Source organism: Homo sapiens, chromosome 14 (assembly GCF_000001405.40).
Source record: "Homo sapiens chromosome 14, GRCh38.p14 Primary Assembly".
In the NCBI taxonomy this organism is placed as follows: Eukaryota; Metazoa; Chordata; class Mammalia; order Primates; family Hominidae; genus Homo; species Homo sapiens.
In genome coordinates, this window is record NC_000014.9 from 79706855 (window position 1) to 79731255 (window position 24401).

General features: G+C 39.0%; 1 protein-coding gene across 56 annotated transcripts in view; it reads left to right on the forward strand.

Annotated features, from left to right (window-relative positions):
- Positions 1-24401, forward strand: part of NRXN3 (neurexin 3) — a 1697919-nt gene that overhangs the window by 1536482 nt on the left and 137036 nt on the right. For 2 of the 56 annotated variants that reach the window (XR_001750609.1, XR_007064051.1), the window contains one exon: positions 1496-1634. The exons of the other annotated variants lie outside the window; for them this stretch is intronic. The gene's annotated coding sequence lies outside the window, so the exon portion shown is untranslated. The remainder of the gene's footprint in view (positions 1-1495; positions 1635-24401) is intronic. 56 annotated transcript variants of the gene reach the window in all.

The window sequence follows — 24401 nt, forward strand, 5'->3', positions numbered from 1 at the left end:
TACTCAACAAATAGTGTGGAGACCAGAGCTTGGCGCCTTTGCAGCCTCCATTTTACACTTGGCCCCCTGGCACTCCACTCTTTATGCACTCTTAACCTGTCTATTCTCATTCGTTTGTCGCCACCGGACTTCGGGTACCCTACGGGTGGTGCTGAGGCTGGTCCCCAACATTGGTCTAATGGCTGAGTATATTGTGTGAGCACCATTTATTCATGTCTGAAACCCTATAATTTGACTAGCCCCATATTTACCCATTTTTAGTGATAATTTGAAAAAACATTGATGATTGAGAGAAGGAACAATAGCTATGTTGCTCATCATTGGACATTTAGAGCCTAGAATGGTGCCTGCCACAAAGCAGGGCTCAAAAATATCAGTTGAAGAAAAATAAATGTGTTAAACGAATGAAAGTAAGTTAAGCAAATGCTTATCATCAGAGTGAAGAGGCAGTGGGGGCCAATATAATTTATTTACAAAGTAGGCAAAGGGAGTTAGGAGGAAGCAGCCTGGTACGGAGGAAAGTGCATTGAAGCAGGCATCAGGAGACTTAGCTCATGACTGGAGAAGTTCTTAAAACCATGACTCTAGGCAGACCTTCATTTCTAGCTGTAGAATTTTGGCCAGGGTCCTTTGTGGAGCTATGTTTTTTTATTATCTGAAATATGGGGATGATTTCCAACTTCAAGGGTAGGTTAAGATAATATAAGTCAAGGGCTTAAATGGGTGCGGCTCAAAGATTATTATTGCTGCTGTCTTAAATGGGATTATAATCTGGTCTCAGCTGATAAACCAGTATTGCAACTATATTTTCTTTTTTATTCTGTTGCTAGTTTGTGGTCTCTGATATGGCAATTAGCTTCCTTGGGCCTATGCTCTTTCCTCAGAAAAGAAAGTTTTATTTTAACATTATCTAGCATAGTGTCTTGGGCACACACACACAGGGACAGTTAAATGTAGGAAACAATGAATTAGAAGAAGTAAAAGAAAGGAGAAGAAGTAAAAGAAAGGAAAAATTGAGAAGGAGAGAAAGACAGCAGCGATGCTCTGTAATTATTGCTATAAGAATTACGTGCCCATTTCATGGATTTGTATGGCTTAGGTTGAGAGAGATGAATAAAATATCTTTGATATAATTAAAATCATAATATAAATAATATTTTTTCTATATCTCCCCTCTTTGCTGAAAGCTGTTGGGTGAGACATCACAATGACCACTTCTATGTAAAAGGTAGATTATAGATGGCCCTCTGCATATGTGGGATTGCATCTGCATTCAACCAACTAACTGTGAATCAAAAATATTTTTAAAAAATTGTGTCTGTACTGAACATGTACAGACTTTTTTCTTACTATTATTCCCTAAACAATACAGTATAACAACTATTTACCTAGCACTTACATTGTACTAGACATTGTAAGTAACCTAGAGATGATTTAAAATGCACAGGAAGATGTGTATAGGTTACATGCAAATACTATGCCATTTTATATTGAGGACTTGAGGATTTTGCCATCCATGGGAGGTCCTGGAACCAATCAATCCCCCACAGATGCTGAGGAATGACTGTACTTGATAAATGTCTCTTGAATCATCCAAAAAAAAGAAAAAGCCAATGGTTTCAATTTAAACTGAGGTAAGAATTGTTTTTTTTTTTTCTGAAAATATATGATGTTCTATTTATATATAATAGGAAAACGACTTCAAGCAGCAATCGTCACTTGCCAGGCATCAAGGCGGATATTTCCATTATGTCTATGACAAGGTGGTGGGAGGGGTGGGATGTGGTTTCATACCTTTCTGGTGCATGTTTGAATGATTGTAAAAATTAGAAACACACTGAGGCTGTTATGACAGCCTTGCCTTTTGAAACCTTCTAATTAATGCCTTGGGTTGTCTAGAGAGCTTGTTCTGTTAGCTAAATGGTGATTTGTAAGGTTCTCCTTGATTTCCTCATCATTCATGGATGAAATAATTGGGGAAATAAAATGATTGGGGAAATAAATGCACACCACGTCTGTGGTGGCTAGCAGTCACTGAGAGAATTACTTGATGGGAATTTGATTGACTTGTGTGTATAATGCAACCTCTTATATCTCTGGCCCCATCTTATTATGTGTGTGTGTGTGTGAGAGAGAGAGAGAGAGACAGGGAGAGAGGGAGGATGCTCGTGTTTGCTTGCACTATGGAGAACAGTGCTTCTTAAACTTTAATGTGTGTATACAGATCACCTGGGTAATCTTATTAAGCACAGATTTTAATGCACGTCCGGGGTGGTATCTCAGATCGTGCACTTCTAACAAGCTCCCAGATGATCTCATGCTGCAGATATGTGTACCTCACTATAGAGTATAGAGCAAGGCTCTAGGAAATATTTACGGTTCCTTGCTGAGTAATCATGGTATCTGTTTACCTATCTCTTCCAAATGGTCTTCCCAAACTTAGCTCAGTTCTCTTCAAGACAGGAAATTTTGTTAACCCAAAGTATTAATGTAAGTGAAAGGGTGGATACCCCAACTAAGGATTAGAAGAGAAAACTGTATCCCATCAGACAATGCTGCTCCGGGTTTCAGATGCCCCTTCTTCCTGTCCCTTACTTTACTGCATACCCCCAAGGCAGATGGAAAAAAACATAGGTAAAATTTAACTTGTCATAATATTTATCCCCCTTTCTGAGAGGTGACCTCCAATGGAAGCAGAAGGATGTGAATGATTTTAATCCACGGTAACAATGGGGAGCCAGTCCTGACCATCTTAAGCAGTATAAATGTATAAAATGACAGATTTTTCTGCTCTGCCTCTCCACTTTCTCCTCCCGGATACTGAGAGAGACACATATTCATGCACCCACAACTCACACTATAATGCACAATGAAATTTCACCCAGCCTTTATCTCGGGGCTGCTGTTCTCATGATTAATGCCCTACTGGCTGGGAAGCTATTCCACTGAAGACAGACAAGGAGAGAGGAAGATGCATGAAATATATCTCTGAGGCCATTTCTCATTATTATTATTATCATTATTAGTTCCTTACTACCCTATCTATCTATCCTGTTAGAGGATGCTTGATCTATTGGCAAGGGGGAGGGGATGACATTTGAAAGCAGGTTTTATGAGGGAGAAATGAACAAGGACAAAGAGAGAAATAGACAGTTTTTATGAAAGAGAATTAACCTGGATGGGGTTTTTGTTATGATTGTTGTCCTTTATTTGGGGGTTTGTTTGTTTTATTGTTGCTGTTGTTTTCCATTTAAAGTCAAAAATAATAGATGCCTCCATCTGCGGCTTCTGATTTTTTTCCCTAGGGATTTATTTTTGCATGTGTTCTTTTGTCTTTATTGAGTCTCTGTCTGCTAGAATCAATATGATATAACTTATGCAAATTATATCCCTGACCACTTATGCAAAAAACAGAATAATTTCGTTGCTCTGTAACACTCTTAATATAATTACCTCCATATCCTGGTTGATTTCAAGCTTTTGAAAGGGCTACTTTAAAAAAAAATAATAAAAATCTATTTATGTGTTGTATAAACCACAGTGTCTGATTCTCTCCTGTTTCTCATTCAAAGAAAGGGTGACTGCTAAATGATTTCTGGCTCTGTCATTTAAGAAGACTGCACAGCAGTGGTCTTAGTTGGGAAGTTGGGACCACAATAAGAGTGCTATTGTAACACGTGTCTACTGATAAAATGGCAAATTCATTAGCCTAGACAAGGAGTACTATGATCTGGTTTCAAAAATGCTGTATACTTCCACAGTCCAGTTTATGAGGGCATGAGATATATAACTGAGGTGCCCCCATGTTACTTCAATTTTAGTTTGACTTTGAATTTCATTAAAAAATATTTGAGTTATTTGAGTGCCTAGTATGGGCTAAGTACTGTCCTGGGCACTTGAACAACATCAGTAAACAGACAAAAACCCTCTTTTCTTATGGAGAACATTTTCTATTCCACAAACATTGGGTGTCTCATAAGTGCAAGACTTTGGAGAAATAAAGAATGAAATAGAAATTTTTCTGCTTTAGAGGAACACACAGTCTGGTACTGTTCTTAAATATTTTCAGACTACAAGCGGACTCACTTGCAGCCCAGTTTTTTACAAAAACTTTAGCATGCTGATTGGCTAGTACAGTTGCAAAGGCAGCAGCCATCTATATTTACAGAGGTCTATTCCAAGAATAGGGTCTTTAATTTCTATTCAAAAAAGACCAAATTTCAAATGTAAACAATATATGTTTTGACTAAAAAAGACAGAAACCGTAAAGCAAGTTACAATAAAGTGATTGAAACATATTTCGGTCCTGGAGACTAAATTTGCAATGTTTATGGCAAATATCTTCTTGTGTTGGTTTGAGATTATAGTTTTATGGAATGTTTATATTGGAAGAATCTCAGAGATTGAGCCCCACACAACCAGATGAGCTTCAGAGATGGGCCATTCTGGTTTCAAGTACTAGTTTCATTGCTCAAAGCTCTACGTCCAGGGGCAAATTGCTCAACCACTTTATAAAAAATGTAAACAACAGGTAATTTCACATTTTAATTTATTTTTATCTAAACAATATATTCACATAGTTTATTTTTAGTGTATATATGTATATATATTTATTTCTTATTTATTTCTTATTTATATATTTATTTATAGAGATGAGGTCTTACTTTATTTCCCAGGTTGGTCTCAAACTCCTGGGCTCAAGTGATCCTCCTGCGTTGGAGTGCTGGGATTAGAGGTGTGAGCCACTGTGGTTGGCCTAAGTAATACAGCCACACAATTTAAAACCTTGAACTGTGCCTAGATATCCCCTTTGGGGAAAAGGCATCACCTTAGTTGCTAGAGTGCTGGCTGATGGCTGTTGGCTAAATCCTTCACGAAGAACTGCCTTTGACTATTGAAGCCACCTTGCCCAACCAAGGTCAAGCCCCTTCCTGAAGGGTGGCCCATATCCAATTAATGATGGTGAAGGGTGGCCCATATCCAATTAATGATGGATGATGGAGCTGGGGGGATCTATCAAGACTCAGCCCATTGTCTCAAGACTGGATAACTGGGAAGGGCCTTTTAGCTAGAGAGTTTCCTAAGGCCAGCTGAGGTCTCTATTGCATGAATGTTCACCTCCCCCTTCTGCCCAGACTCTGATGTCACTCTCCCCAAACTTCCCAAACACGATACCGGGCCTCAGACTTTGTTTTCTGAAAACGCAGCTGAAGATAGATAGATAGCATCGTGAGACTTAAAATAAGAAAACAACAATAACAAAAGAAAAACAGTAGTATCTTTCTAACCTTGCCCTAAAGTCCTGCTCTATACTGGTAACCCTTTTATATCCTTTTCAGACATTTCCCTTCATAGTTCTAGCAATATGCTTGCATTTCTATTTCTTGACTTTTTCAGTTTGACATATTAACTAATGACTTCTGCTTCTGGAAGTAAAAGTTGAGCTTTCTCATGCTCTCCCTGCCCTACAACCCACACACACTTTTTTACCTTCCAGTTTCCCAGTAAAATTCTATCGCATTTCGATTAAATAAATGTTCAGAGTTTGTTATTATGACTTTGTAATATCGCCTATTGAAAACAATGTAAGATCATACATGAACTGACTTGTTCCACAACTATTCACCAGCTGCATAGAATGTGCCAGACACTGTTCTAGAGACTGAGGATACAGCAGTGAAAAACAACAGACTATATTTCTACCTCTGACAAAACATTATACTGTTATGACAATTTCTGTTTTCCTGTAACTCTTTGTTTGTTAATGAATACCCTCGTTATCTCGTTAGCTTATTTTTCTAGCCACCCATCAGTGCCACAGCCAACAGCTACAAAAGACCTCACAAGATAAACCGACAGGACTCCATTATTTCTTTTTCTGTCTTGGAGGTCTCCCTTCTGGAGTCGTCTGACCTCCTGCTTTAGTCTGGGCTGGGCGCTCGCTGAGCCTGCCTCACAGCTATCATCCTGCGTCTTCCTTGCTCGTCATGCTGGAAAATCCCTGGGCCCTGCTCCTGTATTAAATCCTAGTTTCAGCTCTATTTATTTCCTCATTTTCAAGGTGCACATTGTCCTGTAGCCTCCTGAGAAAGGATAGCTAAAAAGTAAAATCATTGAGACATTGCTCATCTGAAGAATGTTTTATTCCATTCTCACCCTTGACGATAATTTGCCTGGGAAGGACTTGTATCTTGGAAATTATCTTCACTAATAAATTTAAAAGCATCCGTCCAATGTTTTTGGGCATCCAATGTTGCAGCTGTTGACATCACAGTTTGGTGTCTAATTCCTTGACTGCACTGATTTTTACTTTTTTTTTTTTTTTTTTTTTTTTTTACCCTCTCTCTGAAATATCCTTATCAGTGGACCTCAAAGTAGCACTTACAACTCAGGTCTCTTGAACCACATGCTGCTGCCCCCTATAGTTCTTGCTTTTGTAAAGTTGTGGTTATTTGCCGATTAGCTGCCCTGTGTTGGCATCCTGACTTTGGTATGATTTGATGAGCTAAGCTATTACTAAACTATAACACACACACATACACACAAAAAATGAATAGCTATAATTAATTAGCATAAAGTTTTGAGGGTAACCAACTTTAGTAGAGATCTGAGATATATATAATGTATATATATATATATATATTTGAACATTTTGCCTTGGGTTAGAGAGGGAATTGGTGGTACAGTAATTCTTACTGGAATTGTGTAGTGATAGCTAGTTTATATATACATATATATATACATACATATACATATACATATGTATGTATATATAAACTAGCTATCACTACACAATTCCACTAAGAATTACTGTACCACCAATTCCCTCTCTAACCCAAGGCAAAATGTTCAACTCTTTTTTGTATTCCCTTAAGAGCCCTTATTTTTTTTTTCAGTTTCACCAATCATGTTCATTTCTTAGCCACCTCAGAAAGAATGAGAATTAAATAATATGTATAAACCCTTTGAATTTTTTACATCCAGAAATGAGCATAAGCTCATTCCTCTGCTTCACACCAGATGCTTATATTTTTGAGAGGAGCAAGGATTAGAATTGTCACTCTGGAATTTTTATGCTACAAAATGTCAATCAATATGTTTGCATGTCACTGGGTTCCATCCTACAGTGTTTGGTGATAAAGTCTTTTCATTTGGCTCCCAGCTTTATCACCATAATATATTTATTTACTTTACCTTACATGTGCTAGTTGGTAGAAGCTGTAGAAAAAGAATTACTCCCACATATTTCTTTCCCCTAAAGAGAAACAATATATTGTAAGAACACAGATGGGGCTCCACACAAAAAGAATGCCGAATTAATGTTGGATGGATGTACATATACAAGAACTTGCTATCAGTACACAATTCCAATAGGAATTATATATACACACACTGAAAATAGAATTTGATTAAATAATTACACTAGGTACAAGCTACATTTTACTTCCATTGAAGGAGAGCTAAGTGGAAACTAGTGTGAGACAATCATGAATAGAAAAGTGCAGAAGGAATTTGATGAGGATGTTCCCAGGGCTATTTCTAGCCAGAAAACGAAGCTGGAGGCTTTGAAGTAAATCAAAATATTTGAAGAAGTAAGAGGATAAATAGCAAAACTCACTTCCAACATCATACTAAAAGCACCATGCAACCATATAGAAAACATGCATAATTTATTTTGACTCAAATAACTATAGGGAGATTCTTGTTTTTTTTAATTAGGAGATTTGAGGTAACTGTCTAGACTACCTATTTTTATGTTGCATTCAGCAATATGTCTGCTAATAATTAGAGGGAAATAAATTACATAAAACAATGCCAGTCATGTCATTGATAAAAAGGAAATTAAAGTGTGATTGTGTTTCTCTTTCTCTCTCTCCCTCATTTTCAGTGAGCTACATCCTCTTGTTGTCCTCCTCACCTGATTAGGCATTTTTGTAAGGGAGTTTGCCTCCGTCCTCTGTTGTAAACATTTTCCTTACCTCAGCATCCTTTTTAAATTCAAAAGACACTTTCCTTTGCAATGCACTATGAAAGGCGATTGTGTTAGAGAATATCAGAGATGGCTTTGTCATGTCTGGTGCTCTTAAATCCTTTTCTTTTTTTTCTTTTCTTTTCTTGAGACGGTGTCTCACTCCGTCACCCAGGCTGGAGGGCAGTGGCGTGATCGGGGCTCACTGCAACCTCTGCCTCCCAGGTTCACGCCATTCTCCTGCCTCAGCCTCCTGAGTAGCTGGGACTACAGGTGCCCACCACCGCACCTGGCCAATTTTTTGTATTTTTAGTAGAGATGGGGTTTCACCGTGTTAGCCAGGATGGTCTCGATCTCCTGACCTCGTGATCCACCCACCTCAGCCTCCCAAAGAGCTGGGATTACAGGCGTGAGCCACTGTGCCCAGCCTCTTAAATCCTGTTGTGTCCTAAAGAGTCCACTAAACGAGGTTGAGGGTATGATTTGACAATTGAACAAGGCCTCAGCCAGCTCTCCTAGACTGCCCCAAAACTCCCTGAGCAGAGAGACCCAGGTGGTGATGGAAGTATTTTTCCTCTAAAAGACTGTGGAGATTCTGGCAAACCTATATTTTGGGTTTAGCTTTCAAGGAAGAGGTGGCATTTGAAAAGCCAGGGGCCTTTGTAGCCATTTTATTCACTACCTAATGTGAAGGTGGTGGCAGGGAATGGAAAAGGGAAGATTATTTAGTCGATAAACACTTAATGGCCACTGCCTGCTGTGTGGACAGATCTGGATAGAGTTAAAAAGATAATAAAGCAAGTGTAGGATGCCTGTCTTCATGGTACTTATATCATGGGAAGAAGGCATGAACAAACCAATTTTACACATAATTATTCAATCACAATCATGACACAGTGTGATAAAGGAGGACAGGCTTCTAAGACAGCAGAAAAGGACCTGAGGTAGTGTTGTCATCTGGGGAAGCTTTCTTGTAGAAGCAGTATAGAAGCTGTCCTGTGCAGGATGAGATATTAGATTGCAAAAGAGGACAAGGGCCAGTGTTCCCGCCAAAGGAAATAGCCTATGCTGAGGCCCTGCTGTAGGGATCATACTGTATCGCGTTCCTCTGGCTTTGGACTACGCATTGATGCTAAAGTCTGGAAGCATACCATATTCGACCAAGTAAAGTGACCAGTTAAGGTCCCCACTTAATGGGCTAAAGATAGGTCATTCCAAGAGTGAGCCTCCCATTATTATGACTCATGACAAAGGGGTGTGGGACTGGTTGGAAAAGAGTTTCCAAAGCTGGACTGCATCACATGGTCATGTGGAATGGGCTGCCTGCTCTCCCAGTCTGAACCCTACCTCTGTGCTATGCCAAAGGTGCAGATCCCCTTAGTGAAAATTGGAGACATGAATCATTTAAGGCAATGCCTCACAGACCCATGTGCAAGGTTCCATGGAATGTGTTAATATATCACACTCATCTCAATTTTGCACGGTACATGAAACTATGCTTGCTGATGAGGGACCATACACATTGAACAGATCATATAATGGTTATGGATGTAATGTCAATAATGTCATGGAACCTATCATATGTTGTAATATCAAGAAACCTTTTAGCATGTACATTTGTCTAGGTTTCTGGACTTTACAGCCTTCTGGTATTTCACTTGCTTGTGTCTTTCATTGAACACTAATAACCAGAAATCAGCAACGTGAAAATTTGATTCTTCTTCCTATTTTTCTCATGCCTTACTTTGGTCTTTCTTTCTGCTTGGTGGAAACTGCGGAGTTCAGTGGAAGTTTTCCTGCAGTCTAATTAGCCCCTCTGTTTAATTTTGTAATAAAAACGCTGAACCAGAAGCTGGAGATAATGTGCCCAATTCAATTCACAGATGTCAATTTCTTTTTAATTGTAATCCTTTTCTTGAGTTCTTCCCACTCTTACTTCCCTGGCACAGCTGAGGCTTGGGTGATTACAAAACTTTCATGCCTACGCTGGAGATTATGCCTCCTGCTTTAGGATTAAATTCATTCGTTATCATTGTTGTAATTATTAGTAGTAACAATGGGCATTTCCACCCAAACCTGATGAATAGTAGTTTTCACAGTCTTTGCCTCCAAACTTAGCTTATTTCAGTTCTTTGCCCAGATAAGTTCTTCACTCTTTAATGGCAGGGAGCATTCCGTTTTCTGTTGCATTTAAATGCTATTTTGAGATCATTCAGAAGACAAGGCTCTTTTTCCTTTTTAGCAGGTTCTCCTGGGTGTGGAGAGATGGCTTCTTTCCCCAGAGTAGGAGTCACCACTTAGTGAATGCTAATGGGGTCTTTTCTTCGTGATGCGACTGCTGCTTTGAAGATGCATTTGAACTGGCAAGGGGCACCTCTTAGCTGCAATCTCTTCCTTAGAAGGGTGCCAGCTCCAGGCCCTAAAAAGCACACATAGCTTTGACTTCCATGCTGACTCCAAAAGAACCTTTTCTCTGCCTTTTTGATGGAGTAGTCCCTACCACTAACAGAACAGCAGTGTGGCCCAACCAACTTGAAAATGGAACTGGCTCCTCAGCAACATGCTAATTCTTTCAAACTTCCTTGTCAGACTCAAACCTCGATGTGTCTTTTGTTCTTAAACTGCATTTGTAGTAAGATCTTCAGGAAAAGCAATCAGTGAGAGACTGGGTCAGGCTTTTATTTAATTACTTTGCACTTTTTTTCCCCCTCTGAACCTTCTCCAAATCAAAAGAAAGCAATGCAGTTTAATTCTGAATATATGAAATGTTTGCACTTTAAATTATAAATGTCTCTCAACGATAACACCTTCTGAAAATAATGCTCCGTGGGCTCTTTAGAAGAATATTTAGGACAGTTCATCTCAGGTTTAAGGTGCCCAAGCTACTATAGTGCCCTTTCTTATCTTGGTTTTATGTTTTTCCACTATGGCTTACTGATATAATTTCCTAATCCTTCTTATCTCAAATGTCTCTTAGACCGTTAAACCTTTGCCTATAAAATGAAGGGGTTTGACTTTGAATCTAAAGGAGTGGACCATCCCTCAAGCACCCTAGTCTCTCAGCGCATTCATTCCACAAACATTTTTTTGGGAGAGCAGGGTGATTCCTGCTATGGACCCATCACCCTTGTAGACTCTGAGGCTGCAATGAAAATACAATAAAATCAGTAATTCTAGTTCTTATGGAACATACATTCTGGGAGTGGGGGCAGAGACTACCGATAAATAAATTAGCAAGAGAATATAATATGCAGGGACAAGTGCTATCAAGAAAATAAACCTGCGCAATGTCACACAGAATGCCTGATGGGTGGGTAGGTAGTTTAGGGGAAGTTACTCTAAGGAAGAAACATTTAACCTGAGATTGGAATGATAAAACATGTCAGGTCTGTGAAGTCTGGGGGAAGAACATTTACAGCAGAGGGAACGGTTAGTGTAAAGGCCTTTAGGCTGGAACATGTTGAGCAGTGTTTGAAAGATGATGAATATGGCTGTAGCAGAAGAAATCTGGTGTGAGGTAAGATCTGAGAAGTGGCAGGGACTGAAACAGACAGGGCCTGTTTGGCTGTGGAAAGCAGTTTAGGTTTTATAAAAGTGCAATGGCAAACTATTAGAACGTACTAAGTAAAGGAGTGACATGATGTGACTTATGTTTTTTAAAGATTACTCTGCCATGTTGAGAAAATATTGTAAAGCAGCAAGAGAGGAGGCAGAGAGACCTAATACATGGCTATTGCTTTAATTCTGATGAAGTTTGATTGTGGTTTGAACTAGTATAGCAGCCAGGCCCCCACTACAGGCCCACCCAGCTTGATGGCCTCACCCTGCATCTTGTCCTGTCTCTGAACTGCTAAATCTCAAAACTTTAAAGCCCTAATATCTTGCTGATTAACCATAATTTCCAAATCTTATGCTTAAGTCCAGGCAGTTTTTAATTTTTTTTTATTTTTTGGCTTCAGCAAATTTTTCATTTGTCTATATCTATAAAGTACTTCTCATCATCAACCCAGATTCCTTTTTCTCTCTGTTGTGTTCATTCTAGATCATTCCAAATGGTCTCTGTTCCTTCTGCCTTCAACCTGGTCTTAGAAGACTTCTCTGTTTTTTATCTCTCCCCCATTCCACCTCCAACTCTTGATCAGCACCTATTTCAAACTCTCAACTTGGTCTCCTTTTTCACTTTTTACACACTTGGATTTTAAATGTTACCTTCTTTTAGAAAACAATGCTGACCAGTCATGAGTTTCTTTGAATTCCTCCATGCTTATCCACATCAGTCCTTACTTTAGGGGAATCCCTTCGTCCCTTTGTTTGAAATCTTATGCTAATTATCTCTTCACTCGGGTCTCTTCCCAAGGTTTGGACATCATTTAGTGTTCTCATTTTCCACTGGTGCCATTAATATCATCCCGTCATCATAGACATATATGTGTGTGTGTGTGTGTGTGTGTGTACATATATATGTATGTATGTGTATATGTATGTGTATGTATACACGCGTGTGTATATATATGTATATATACACATATATGTGTATTGTGTGTATGTGTATATATATGTGTGTGTATATATATGTGTGTATATATATATATATATACCTTTCCCATTTCAAAAACAAAATCAAAACAAAAAAGGCAATTATCTATGAACCTGATTTCTGTCCCTTCTATTAGCACTTACTGTCCCCAGATGAGGACACTCTTTCACTTCCCCATATGCTCAAATATCCTGAATTTTATACTCTCACTGATTTTACTTTCTAAACAAGGAATATATACGTATTGTAGAAAAAAATCACTGTGAAGTAAATTCCACCCGTGATCCAACCCTCCAGAGAAAATCGTGCATAAAAGGTCCCGCAGATTCCCACCTGTCTTTCTTTCCTTCCTTATCTACCAATATTTTTTCACATGCATGCAACATTCTAGTCATACCTTGTTATACTTTCAGACATGTTCTTTCTACTTGAGCACATACAACATACAACTTGAGCATGCTTGTTTATCTATAAAATGAAGATAATATGATCATTTCTGTAGGAGTTTTGAGTCAAAAATAAATTTATGTATTTCAAATGCTTAGAATAGTGTCTGTTGCATAGTGACCTTTCAATAAAAATTATTATTATTATTGCTCTTTTGTCCACTTTATCTACCTGGAAAAGTAATAATCCCTCAAGACTAAGTTGAAATATAACATCCCTGGGGAGTGTATTAGTCTGTTCTCACACTGCTAATAAAGACATACCTGAGACTGGGTAATTTATAAAGGAAAGAGGTTTAATAGACTCAGAGTTCCACATGGCTAGGGAGGCCTCACAATCATGGTGGAAGGCAAAGGGGAAGAAAGACACGTTTTACATGTCAGCAGGCAAGAGTGTGTGTGCAGGCGAGCTCCCATTTATAAAACCATCAGATCTCTTGAGACTTATTCACTACTGTAAGAACAATATGGGGGAAACTGTCCCCATGATTCAGTTATCTCCTCCTTAATAATCCCCTTGATGCATGGGGATTATTACAATTCCAGGTGAGATTTGGGCGGGGACACAACCAAACCATATCAGGGAGTTATCCTTCTCCTCTGCCATCCTGTTTCACTCTGCCAGGCTCCTTTTCTCAGTGCCTCCACAAGTGGTTTACTTGTTGTGATGAACACTATGCACAGCAGAGAGTTTAAGGACCTTAGTCATGTTTCCTACCAATCAGCGGTTGGCTTCCTATTAAACCTTTCTCGATGTTCTGGACCTCTAGAGAGCCATTCTGTGCTGCTATGCAATCTATAATGACTCTTCAACTAGGTTTCTATTCATTTCCAAGTCTTCCCTACCACTGAGATACTTCAAGGAGATATGAGTGGATCATGAATAAATATCCTAAAACTAAAGACAGTTAAGTCAATTGCACTCTCAATATTATCAGACTATTTTAACTAATATGCTATAGACAAATAATTCTTCAGAATGGTGTTTGCTTTGTGTGTGTCATAAGAGATTCTTGTCTTTAGAGAATTAGGGAATAATATTAAAATGAATAAATAGTAAAGGTGGGAATATTTTTAATATTATTAAAATAAATAAATGATTAAAGTAGGGAGCATGTTTGAAGGTCCATTTTAAAAAATATATGTAGACAGAGGAAACCTAAGAGTTAAAATACTGAGTGAGTTTTGCTCTGCATCAGTGGAGGCTATAAAATGCAGTATTTATCTGTATATGAGTTCTATACCAATGTGATCTATCTCTCTAATTAGATAGTCAACTATTTTTAAAGAGCTGCAAATAAGCCTTACAAGAATGTCATAAATGCATTCCATTTAGAAACATCTTGCAGATAAATTGTATTTTTATTCTTCCTGCAGCCTCCTGTAGCCTTAAAAGAATAACAAAAAATAAATTCTTACTACCTAATTCCAGACACAGATCATTACTACCAGTAGTATGTTAATCATGCTTGCCATTCCTTCTCCTTCGATATCATTATGCTTTAGGATAGAAAAGGTGGGTGGTATGTGAGCCTCCTTGGATAAACAAAACGTTGGAGTGCACAGGCTTCTCAAGAGGTACAATGTTATTTTCATGCAAAAAAATCCCAAGTATTACAAAGGGGCTTGAAAATGTTGAAAACACATTGTGAATAAGTAGAATTACTAACAAGAGCACTGTATCTTTTGCTTCGATAGGCTCTTTCAAGATGTAGACAAATTGGAGGTAGGCCAGACAGAATCTACGGGAATGATTAGGGGAATTGAAGGAATGACTTCGGAAAAAAGATTAAAAGAGCTAAATACGTATAGGTTGGCTAAGTGCCAACTCAGAGAAAATGACATTATGGGCTATAGATATTTGAAAGTGGCTGGCTATAAGCAAAGCAAGGGATTACTTAGGTAATTGGATTAAATCAAGGGGGTAAACATTTTAAACTCAATATCTGGATTTATTTTGTTGACTATAAGAATTATTAGATTTTAGAACTATCCCATAACCTACTGCTTGGATTAAAGCAAGAGGTAGGGTGTGGTAGCATGAAGTCTCTAATAGTTTACCCAGTTCTGAGCATCTTGTTGCCAGGAAGCAGATCTTACTCACTTTTAATCCCTAGGATTTAGCACATTAAAAGAACTCCATAGAGAGCTAAGTCATGTTTAGTTCAGCGAGAAGAAAATGGTCTGTGGAGTCAGACATTACAGATTTTATATCTCTGCTGTTTTATTGTTCTATAACAGTCAGCAAGTTACTTAACCTAAGCCTTATCCATAAGGTGCGTATTAATATCAACTTTATAGGATTGATGTGAAGTTTACATGAGTTGTCTTGATCTCTTCTTTTACCTATTTAACAGCGGTTAAATACACCCCTCCTCTCCATCATCACTGCCATTGTGTTCCTTCTGACTTTAGTAATGTCTTCAATGGTTTCCTGGATTCCAATTTTGCCTATCTTCAAGTTTCCACAATATAGTCAGGAATAACTTTTTGCAGCGCATGTATGAGTAAGCAAGCCCTAGCTTAAAAACTCCAATGGATCCCATTGCCTGCAGGATAAAATCGAATATCCTTAGGATGACAAACTTCATGCCATCATGCCTGTCTTTCTAATTCCAACTCATATTACCCTACCCTTCTCACATAATGCTCTAACTACATTCACTTGCTTGAGTTTTTCTTTTGTACCTTGTACAAATGTATAAACATGCTGGTTCCTCTGCTGAGAACCCACTTTCCACTCCAATTTGCCATTTCTTTGCCACTCTTTGTCTTCTGCCTTGCTTCACACTCTTTCTAAAATGCCAATCTCAGATTTTACCTCTTTTGAGATTCCAGGTGCCTCTCCCATGTGTTTCCACAGTAAATGGAGCTTATCATTATCCTGCTATTAATTCTACTGTGTTCTAAGTGTCTTTTCACTCTGCCTCTCCTAATAGATGTTAGGATTCATTTGGGCAGATACTTAGATTAGTGCCTACCATTTAGTAGGCATTCAACATATTTTTAGATTCAAAGAATGATAAATGGTAGATGGATAGATGGATGGATGGGTAGGTAAAAAGATATATGGAGTGTAACAAAGTACCTACAACATAAGAAATTATCAATTAATTTCAGTTTTCTTTCCTTGGAGTTTTGAGATTAAGAAATGCACTTCGTTGTCCCGAATAAGCATAGTCTTGAGTGGGCTTTAGTCAGAGTTATTTGTGTGCATTTATGTCGATACTACCCACTCCATTCTATCATATTGGGAAAATAATGCAATCTCGAAGGAATAGGAGTCTAGGAAACCTAGGATATAAGTGAGCACATACCGGAGAAAAATATGCCAACATAGTAGCTTGGAGGAAATACTTGGAAATATCTTGCCTTTATAGCTAGATATAGAACTTCATTTTTTACAACTAGAAGCTTTGTGACTTCTGAGACCATGACTGAAGAAAAATGGAAATGAAGACAAAGGGGACTGAAATGGGAGTGGAAGTAGGAAAAGGGGATCCATAGACACAAAACAAACTTTTCCTTTTACACACTCCATTTCCCTCTCTGGTGCTTGCCCATGGCCCAGCTATTTAACCTTAAGACACATGGCCAGCCCCCTTGTCTAGAGTTTGCCCTAATTGTTGGGCGCATTGTAGCGTCTTAGATGATCAATTGCTCATGCCAAAAGCAGAGTGTTAAGATTCATGAAATTCGAGTCTGTGCTATTAATAACCTGAGCAGGGTTTTCATGCCTCCTTCCCCTTTGTTTTCTCCTTTGCCAAGTCTCCATTCTCACTCTTTTGTGGATGTGTGTGTTATGGAGACGAATGAAATTTCAGACACAGCAATGAATTGCCACCTAAAAGGATACACCCCAGGGTCTTCTGTGTTCCTTTGCAGCTGTGTGATAAATTGCCATCTCCAAAATTAATTGTTACCTTTTCAGGAAGTGTTTACTCATTTTCATCTCCTCACTGGCATCAGTGAACCTCTGAGCTAGAAAAACCAACTTTCCTTTCCCTTCTCAAGCCCTTGATATGCAGCTAGAACGGCAATCAGTGGAGCTGACAAGGGCGAGCAGTGGTACCTCCGTGTTGTTCTCTAGCCCATGAATTCAATGAACATCCAGGCTATGCCTTTCATCTCAACTGCCTTTTAATAGACTAACCCATTTCTCTTTACTTTTGGCTCCACATTAAAATGTCTATAAAATTTTACTCCAAGCTAGGTCTTCCAGGTTTACGGAAGAAGGAACATACATTCAGCAAAACAGTTTTCTCTTTTTGTTAGATTTCTGCTGTTCTCAAGAGCTGAAAAAAAGTGTGATACTTCACATGTACTCTTTAAAAAACTTACTAAGCCTGCTCAGCTTTTACACAGGGTACGCCGGCACACAAGTGTGACCTGGTCCTTACTCCATCCTCAAAGATAAGTTGTCCCCACAGTCTGCCAAAAAGATGTCCCTGATGCAATGAGAATGAGCTGGAGTCCTGACTGTGCTACATTTTTAGTGGTATCCTAACTCTCTATTCCACAGACATCAGAAAATGTCACAACATACTCTTTGTAACTAGTCCCTTTATTATGTCCATGAATGTAATATATACAATGATTTTCAAAGAGGGTGATTTTTCACCCCTCTTCTCTCCCTGCCCCACATACAAAGGAGACTTTGCCTATGTCTGGAAACATTTTTGGTTGTCACAATTGAAAAGGAATGTATGGAGGTGTTGCTGTTATCCAGTGAGCAGAGGCCACAGATGCTGCTATACATTTTATAATGCACATGAACTCTGGAATATATAAATCAAGTAAATCTCAGTATTCTGCCATGTACTCTGGGAGATACTTAAAATTATAAGCCATGACTTCTATTTTCCAAGCATTTTGGAGAAAAACAACCAATTTTGTTTTTGATTTCTGACTATATGGTAGAGTTCAGCTACACAGTATATGGTACTTTAACAAAGCTATACGGTAGCTGCAAGACAACACCATGGCTGGGCCCTTCAGAGCCTCATAAGTGTATTGGGGACACTGAGAATCTAGTAATAGACTAACACATATGTACCACCATTGAGTGGCATCAAACATGCTTTCATTTAGTGCTGAAATTGATGATATAATGGAGGCTAGAAAGATCTAATAATGAAAAAAAGAGGAATTTAACCAGTCTTGAGGTGATCAAATGAGGAAGCAGAAAGGTAGGATTGATTGTAATGTGTGCACAGAGGAGTGAAGCCTGATTACCTGTACTACTCATTGCCAGACCTTCAAGAATCGCGTGCCAAGTGCCAGGTGCAGAAGTTGCAAAACTGTTTGGGAGATCAAAGAGAAAATATCAACCTGGCTTTCAAGTCTTTTCAGGGTGCTTTCTTAGAAAAACTGTTTTTGGTCTTGAAACATGGGCAAACATTGGCTGCGGGCCAAGAAATTTATAGTTCCTGAGGAACTTTAGATTGATACATGTCTGACAATTTCCATTTTGCAAAACAAGAGAAGGCAAAAGTGGGCTTGGAAGGCATTCAATCTTTGATGTTGTCTTTGCTTCAGCTGAGCAGAAGTGAGAATTTAGACACACTGAGCCATTACCAGAGTTTAAGAAAACTTACCATCAGTGTGGTTTCCCCCTTTCTCTCAGTCAAGCACATGGGTGTGTGTCATTGTAAAAGGACTATAGGATTGGAAGTGGACACGTGAATTCCATTTCTTACTCTCCACTAACTACCTGAGTGACATTAGGCAAACTTGCAAATGTGGAAGTTGGGCCGGGCTAGGTTATGTTCCGCTCTAACCTTAAACACTGATTTCCCCATTGACTTTCTTGTTCCATTCAAAGAGATTAGGAGGAAAAAAAAGTGGTATATCCCAGGCACGTTTTGTGATATTTCAGTGAAATATTGAAATAAGCAATGTCAGCAGCCTCATGTTCTCGCTAATGGTCTGGTATACTTTATGAATAAACAACACTAGCTTTATATTACTGGATCTCATTTCCAGCAGATTTATAAAATTGTAACTCTACAGTGTTTTCTGACAGAGCTTCTGGAAGGGGAAAAATGACAGTGCAGTTGTTTGCTAACATCTGGGTGTACTTTTTGCAACATGGGGAGAATTGTTCCAAGGCAGGGAGCTAATCTGATTCATATCTCTACCTAGAAGCACTTAAAGAAGCTGTCAGATGATTCCCACAGTGACAAATTTGAGTCCCAAGGAGATGATGGAGTGAAATCAGACACATTTTGGGAAGAAATTCCTACTATCTTTTCAAAGGATAAACTCCCACAGTATTTGTGCCAATCTCTTTTACAGCATTCCTATCTCAAAAACCAGAGACTTAGGCTAATTTTTTTTGTTTCTGTTATTCTCTAATATATTTGTTTAAAAAGGAAGTTTTAATGAAAAGTCAGTCATGTGACTTAGAGAATTAAATGTAGGGCTCTAGCAAGGATTTGCTTTAAAATGTTTCTCTCCGATTTAGTTGCTGCACCTGGGTAATAACTACCTTGGAAGTATTAGTGTTGTTTCTCTGTCATAAAATTGACATGCTTGGTGTGGATAAGAATATTTGATTGTAGAACTGCTTCTACCTAACTGCATTCTGTTATACTAACAATTTGGCTAGCAGAATTTTTTTTTAAAATCCTCCATTTGCAGCTTTTTGTACTCTGATCACAATATATTAAATCCCCCAGAAGAACTACTACCTTGAATACAAAGCACATAGCGGTGCTCTTTTAATTGATTTGTAAAGGTTAGTTGCTCAGTACTAGTGGAAAGTTTCATGATTACTTAATTGAATTACCTGCTTCCCCCAGTAGAGTGCTTACTGGGCACCATACAGTAAGCTGAGAGTTTTACATGCCTGGTACTATTATTTCCCCAGTTTACAGATTAGGAAAGCAAGATGTAGCTTACAAAATATGCTGAAAGACCACTGGCATAAAAGCCTTTTAATTCCTTGCTGAAAAACTCCCTGGGTTTTGAAATATGATAAACTACATTTTTGTTGTTCTCTGAAGATTCAGGTTCATATAGTATGACAGTTTTATTTTTGTGACTCTCAATCATATATGAGATAAATGATGGGGGAAAGAGACCGCTTTGAGGTCAAGCAGACCTATGTCCAATTCTAACATCAAGGAGAAGCCACGTGCTTTGGCAAAGTTTGTGTATTTACACTGTTGGGAAAACTAAAAGTAATTTATATAAAGTACCTAGCATAGTATCTGGCAGGGTAGGTGTTCAGTAAATGTTGCTGGTATTATTTTTGCTAGTGATAACATTATTCAGCCATATAAACACATAGCACTAAGGTTAAGCAAAATATGTATTGACATTACAGCATGCCTAGGTATTTATTGCCTAAAATATATTTCCGATAAGCTTTTCTTAGCATTTGCTGCTTTCTACTAAGAGTTGAGTGAAACTACGATGACCACAATTTAGTCTACTTATTTAAACCTTTAATTGGTTGGCTTCCGGTAAATTGCAGTTTGAATGACTAGCCCAATCATGTATGAGTAGCCGGGAATATTCGATAGGTATAGAATTCTTCCTGCCTAATCAAGTCAGGGATACCGATGTTAATTTCTGAAATAAATACTTTCTCCTCTCAAGATCTACCCAGTGGTTCGTTGCCCCTTGGGATCACTTCTACTTTTCAACAAAGAGCAAGGGACAGTAATTGCAACTTCAGGGTAGAAGGAGAGTTTGCATGCCTGGCCCAGAATGAAATAAATGTGGAGGAACAGAGCCCAAATGACTTGTATGTTTCAGGTACAGCTCCATGTATGCTGCAGATGATTTGGGTTAAAAAAAAAAATTGGCCAGCCTAAACTTTGAGGCAAAGAAATTGCATTTCCCAATGTCTCATTTCTCTTTCCTTTTACTTTACTTCATCTACTGTGAATGACCCTTATTTTTTTGTTGTTGCTTTATGGCAATAAATAAACGAACCCCCATTGTGCAAATATTATGCTCTTCTCATTGGCCTGGAGGGAAATTGCTACGAGAGAAATCCTGGACTTTTTTCCCCTTTTTAGAAGGAAATACCAGGTTACGAATGGCCCTTCTCAGTCTCTAGATTGAGACTAGGATTCTTCTGTCACCTCCTCAGAGCCCTGGATGCAGAAAGCAATTCATTTCACATGTGTGCAAATCAGACACAGAAATTCTGCAAGGCACCTCTTGGCAGTAAAAGTGGACTATTAACTCTCAAATTGCTGGCCTCTACTGAGAGGCAACTTCTCCCTGAAGCCAGGTGGGAGTGTCCCTTTGAAGCCTTACACAACCCGACTTCTGTTGCTAGGGTAGAGTACTTTAGAGCAAGAGTAGTCCTGCGGTATGTTAACTGAGTAGGTGTTTCCCAGAAAATTAAAAGCAAAAGTAACTACCTGGAACAGTCTGATTTTTAAAGCAAAGCAGGATCTTTGTACGTTTAAAATTTAGTCCAGCTACTTGATAGCCTATAGAGCCCCCAACTCCTTCTTCCAGCCCAGGGAGAGTCTGCAGTGAGCAAGGTAAGAGGTAGCTCCAGCATTTTCAGCATGGGGTTAGGTTGGAAGTCCCAGTTGACAGGGACAGTCCTTCCTGCTCTCACCTGCCAAAATCTCTCTCCTCCCAGGAGATAGCTCCCTTTTCTCCCTGATTGCTTCCTCTCATGAGGAGAAGGTCATTGGCGCTCACCACTTCCAGGGCAACCCTTTATGCAAGCAGTGGGTGCCTTTGAAAGGCAAACCGCAGCAGGAAGACTTTGAAGGCAAGAAGAGACTTTTTCATCTTTGCAGGCCCCAGCCAGAACATTGGTTCTCAGTGCAGTACAAGCAGTTTCAAAGTTATCTCCCTTGCTGATATGGATGTGATAACATGGAGCGGAGAGGTGCCATAATGATTTCCTTTCAAATGGCTGCCTCACCATTTATCTTTGCACACTGTCAAAGACTGATATTGTCGGGAGTTAGCAGTGGCATGGAATAATTAATCTCGTACGGGGGAAGTAAGTTCTTCATTTGTCTCCTGAGAAATTAGCACTGCATTGACAGCAAAAGTAGATGATATCATCGGAAAGGGAAAGGGAGGTGATCTTTGTAACTCCAGATGCCAAATTGTAACATTGATTCAGTTCTGTGAAGTTTTGATTGAACACCTACTATGTGCCAGGTGCTAGAGATACAGATACAGATTCCTGTGCTACAGTAGATCATAATCCCTTGAGGGTCACAGCTTATTTCAAAATCCTTGTCACCTTGACAAAATGCTCAAGACCACCATGGTGACATGTGTGCCACCATCATTATTATTATCTAAAGAGTTTTACCAAGTGTCTGTATCATTAATATTTATTGTAAAGGCTCAACTTTTATAAGAAAGAATCCTTGTCTCCCACACCACCAGTGCAAAGTAGATTAACAAAGTTGGCATTTATTTATTTTATTTTTTCTTTAGGGGAAAATCAAGAAGTTAGTGATCTAGGGCTAATGGGGATATTGTGTTACTCCCAATATGTGGTTCCCATATTTGGATTCAAGTTTTTCCTATTTTCCAATCAGTGGGAGGAGAAAAAGAAAAGCATGCCTGCTTATATCCTATTAAGGCCACACCTGTCTGCAAAACAGGTGGGATCCATGTGAACCAGAAGCAAGCTATTAAGGATGCAAGAAAATGTAGTGACTAGTTGGATGGCCATATACCTTGCTTAAAACCAGTTAGGGTCTTTTATTTCTGAAAGAAAGAAGGGAAACTAGATATTTGGGGATGATAAGCAATCTCCCCACAGAGATTCTGGGTGAAATCCTTTTTGCTTCTCTGAATTTCCAATAACTCACCTCTTAAATGAGAGAATTGAAGGAGGTGTGCTGTGTAGTCCTTTTCAATTTCAAAGTCAAAATAACAACTCTAGGCTCCTCCTCCTTCCTCAGCTTCTCCCAGGCAGTAGGCACAGTGATGGGCTCTGTGCTGGGAATTTTGTTTTGAGCCTGTTTCTTTTATTTGGAAACATCAGGTGCTGAACCTATCCTGGATTCGAGTGAGTGCAGGGCATGGCTCTAAGAAGCATTTTGTGGAAAGAGTCAAGCTTGTCATCCTCCTCCTTTGAGGCACTAATTGGGCTGACTGGGCCAAGCAAAACAATGGTATGATCCATGTGAACCAAAAGCAAATTATTAGGCTTGGAGAGTGGTGGGTAGTCAGAGAAGCACTTCTGTTGTAGACAGAAAAACAGCATCATGCTTCTCAGAAAGAAAGGGGGCTGCTATCTGGGTGGAAAGCTTAGAATCAAGGGAGAATTATACATGTTTTTAATGGACCGAGGAAGAAGCCAGATTTGTGTATGCGGAGTTTGATAGGGAAGGGCTTCTCTTCTTTTTCCTACTAAAGGAATAGTGTTTTTGACAAGGTGCCAAAAATCTAGGCCACAGCATCCCACTTTGTGCCACAGCATCCCACTTTGGTGAGCCATACCAGGTTGCAGGAAATTAATTGCTTTAGACTTTGGGCTGGCTGAGTGGGGCCTGAAGCCACCGTAGTCCCTGGGCAAGCCCCCTCCCACTACACAGGCCTCCTCCATCTCCCTCATTTTCTCTGTGTGCTGTGATTTGGAAAAAATTGACAAGCACTTGATAGAGGCTACCAACCAATTAGAATTGGTTCACACGAGACACTTGGGAATGAACTCAGCTGGTCACTATGGTGATTTAACTAAATTGTGTTATCCAGACACATTAGTGAATCAAGTCTGGCATTTCAATTTTCTCTATAAGATGAATTGTGGAAAGAAGTTCATTATAATAATTAAGGAAGATTTATGCAGTGAGTACATTTTTATCTCTGTAGCCTGTTATAATGCTGGTATTTTGTGACCAAAAAAATTGAGTTGTAGATATTAACTATGTAATTCCACAAACTGTGCTCCCGAACGAGTTATTTATATAGTTAGAATTTAATAAATGGAAACTTTTTGAATGCACCTGCTTAGGAAAATATTGAAAGAAAACTTACTGTAAGTTTTTCAGCACAGTGAACAATCATCCCCCAGTGAACAAAATGCTAGCCTTAACCCGGTCAGTAAATTATTTGGCCATAGGCAGATATCTCATCTCCCTGTAAAGGAAAGCCAGTTTCCTCCACTGTAAAATGAGTCTTAGTAGGAAAGGGGGCATTAGCAAAGTAATCCCTGTGCCTACCCAATCGTTCTAATGTGATGTTTCCTTTGGAAAAAACCTACAACTCAGAAATATATTGAATGAAAATCTCCCTATTACAGGAAGACACTGCGGGTTGCTAAGGAGTGTGGTTTCTGTGGTTGGAGTAGAGAAAAATAGTGGTGTTTTCTGAGATCTCAACTCAACTGTGCAGGGTAGATCGAATGAACACAGCACAAGCCACAGCCACTGTTCTGCTTCTGCCTGATTTGCTTCTCCAGAAATTTCCCAGATTACAACAATGCCGAAGTGCCCATTGGCTA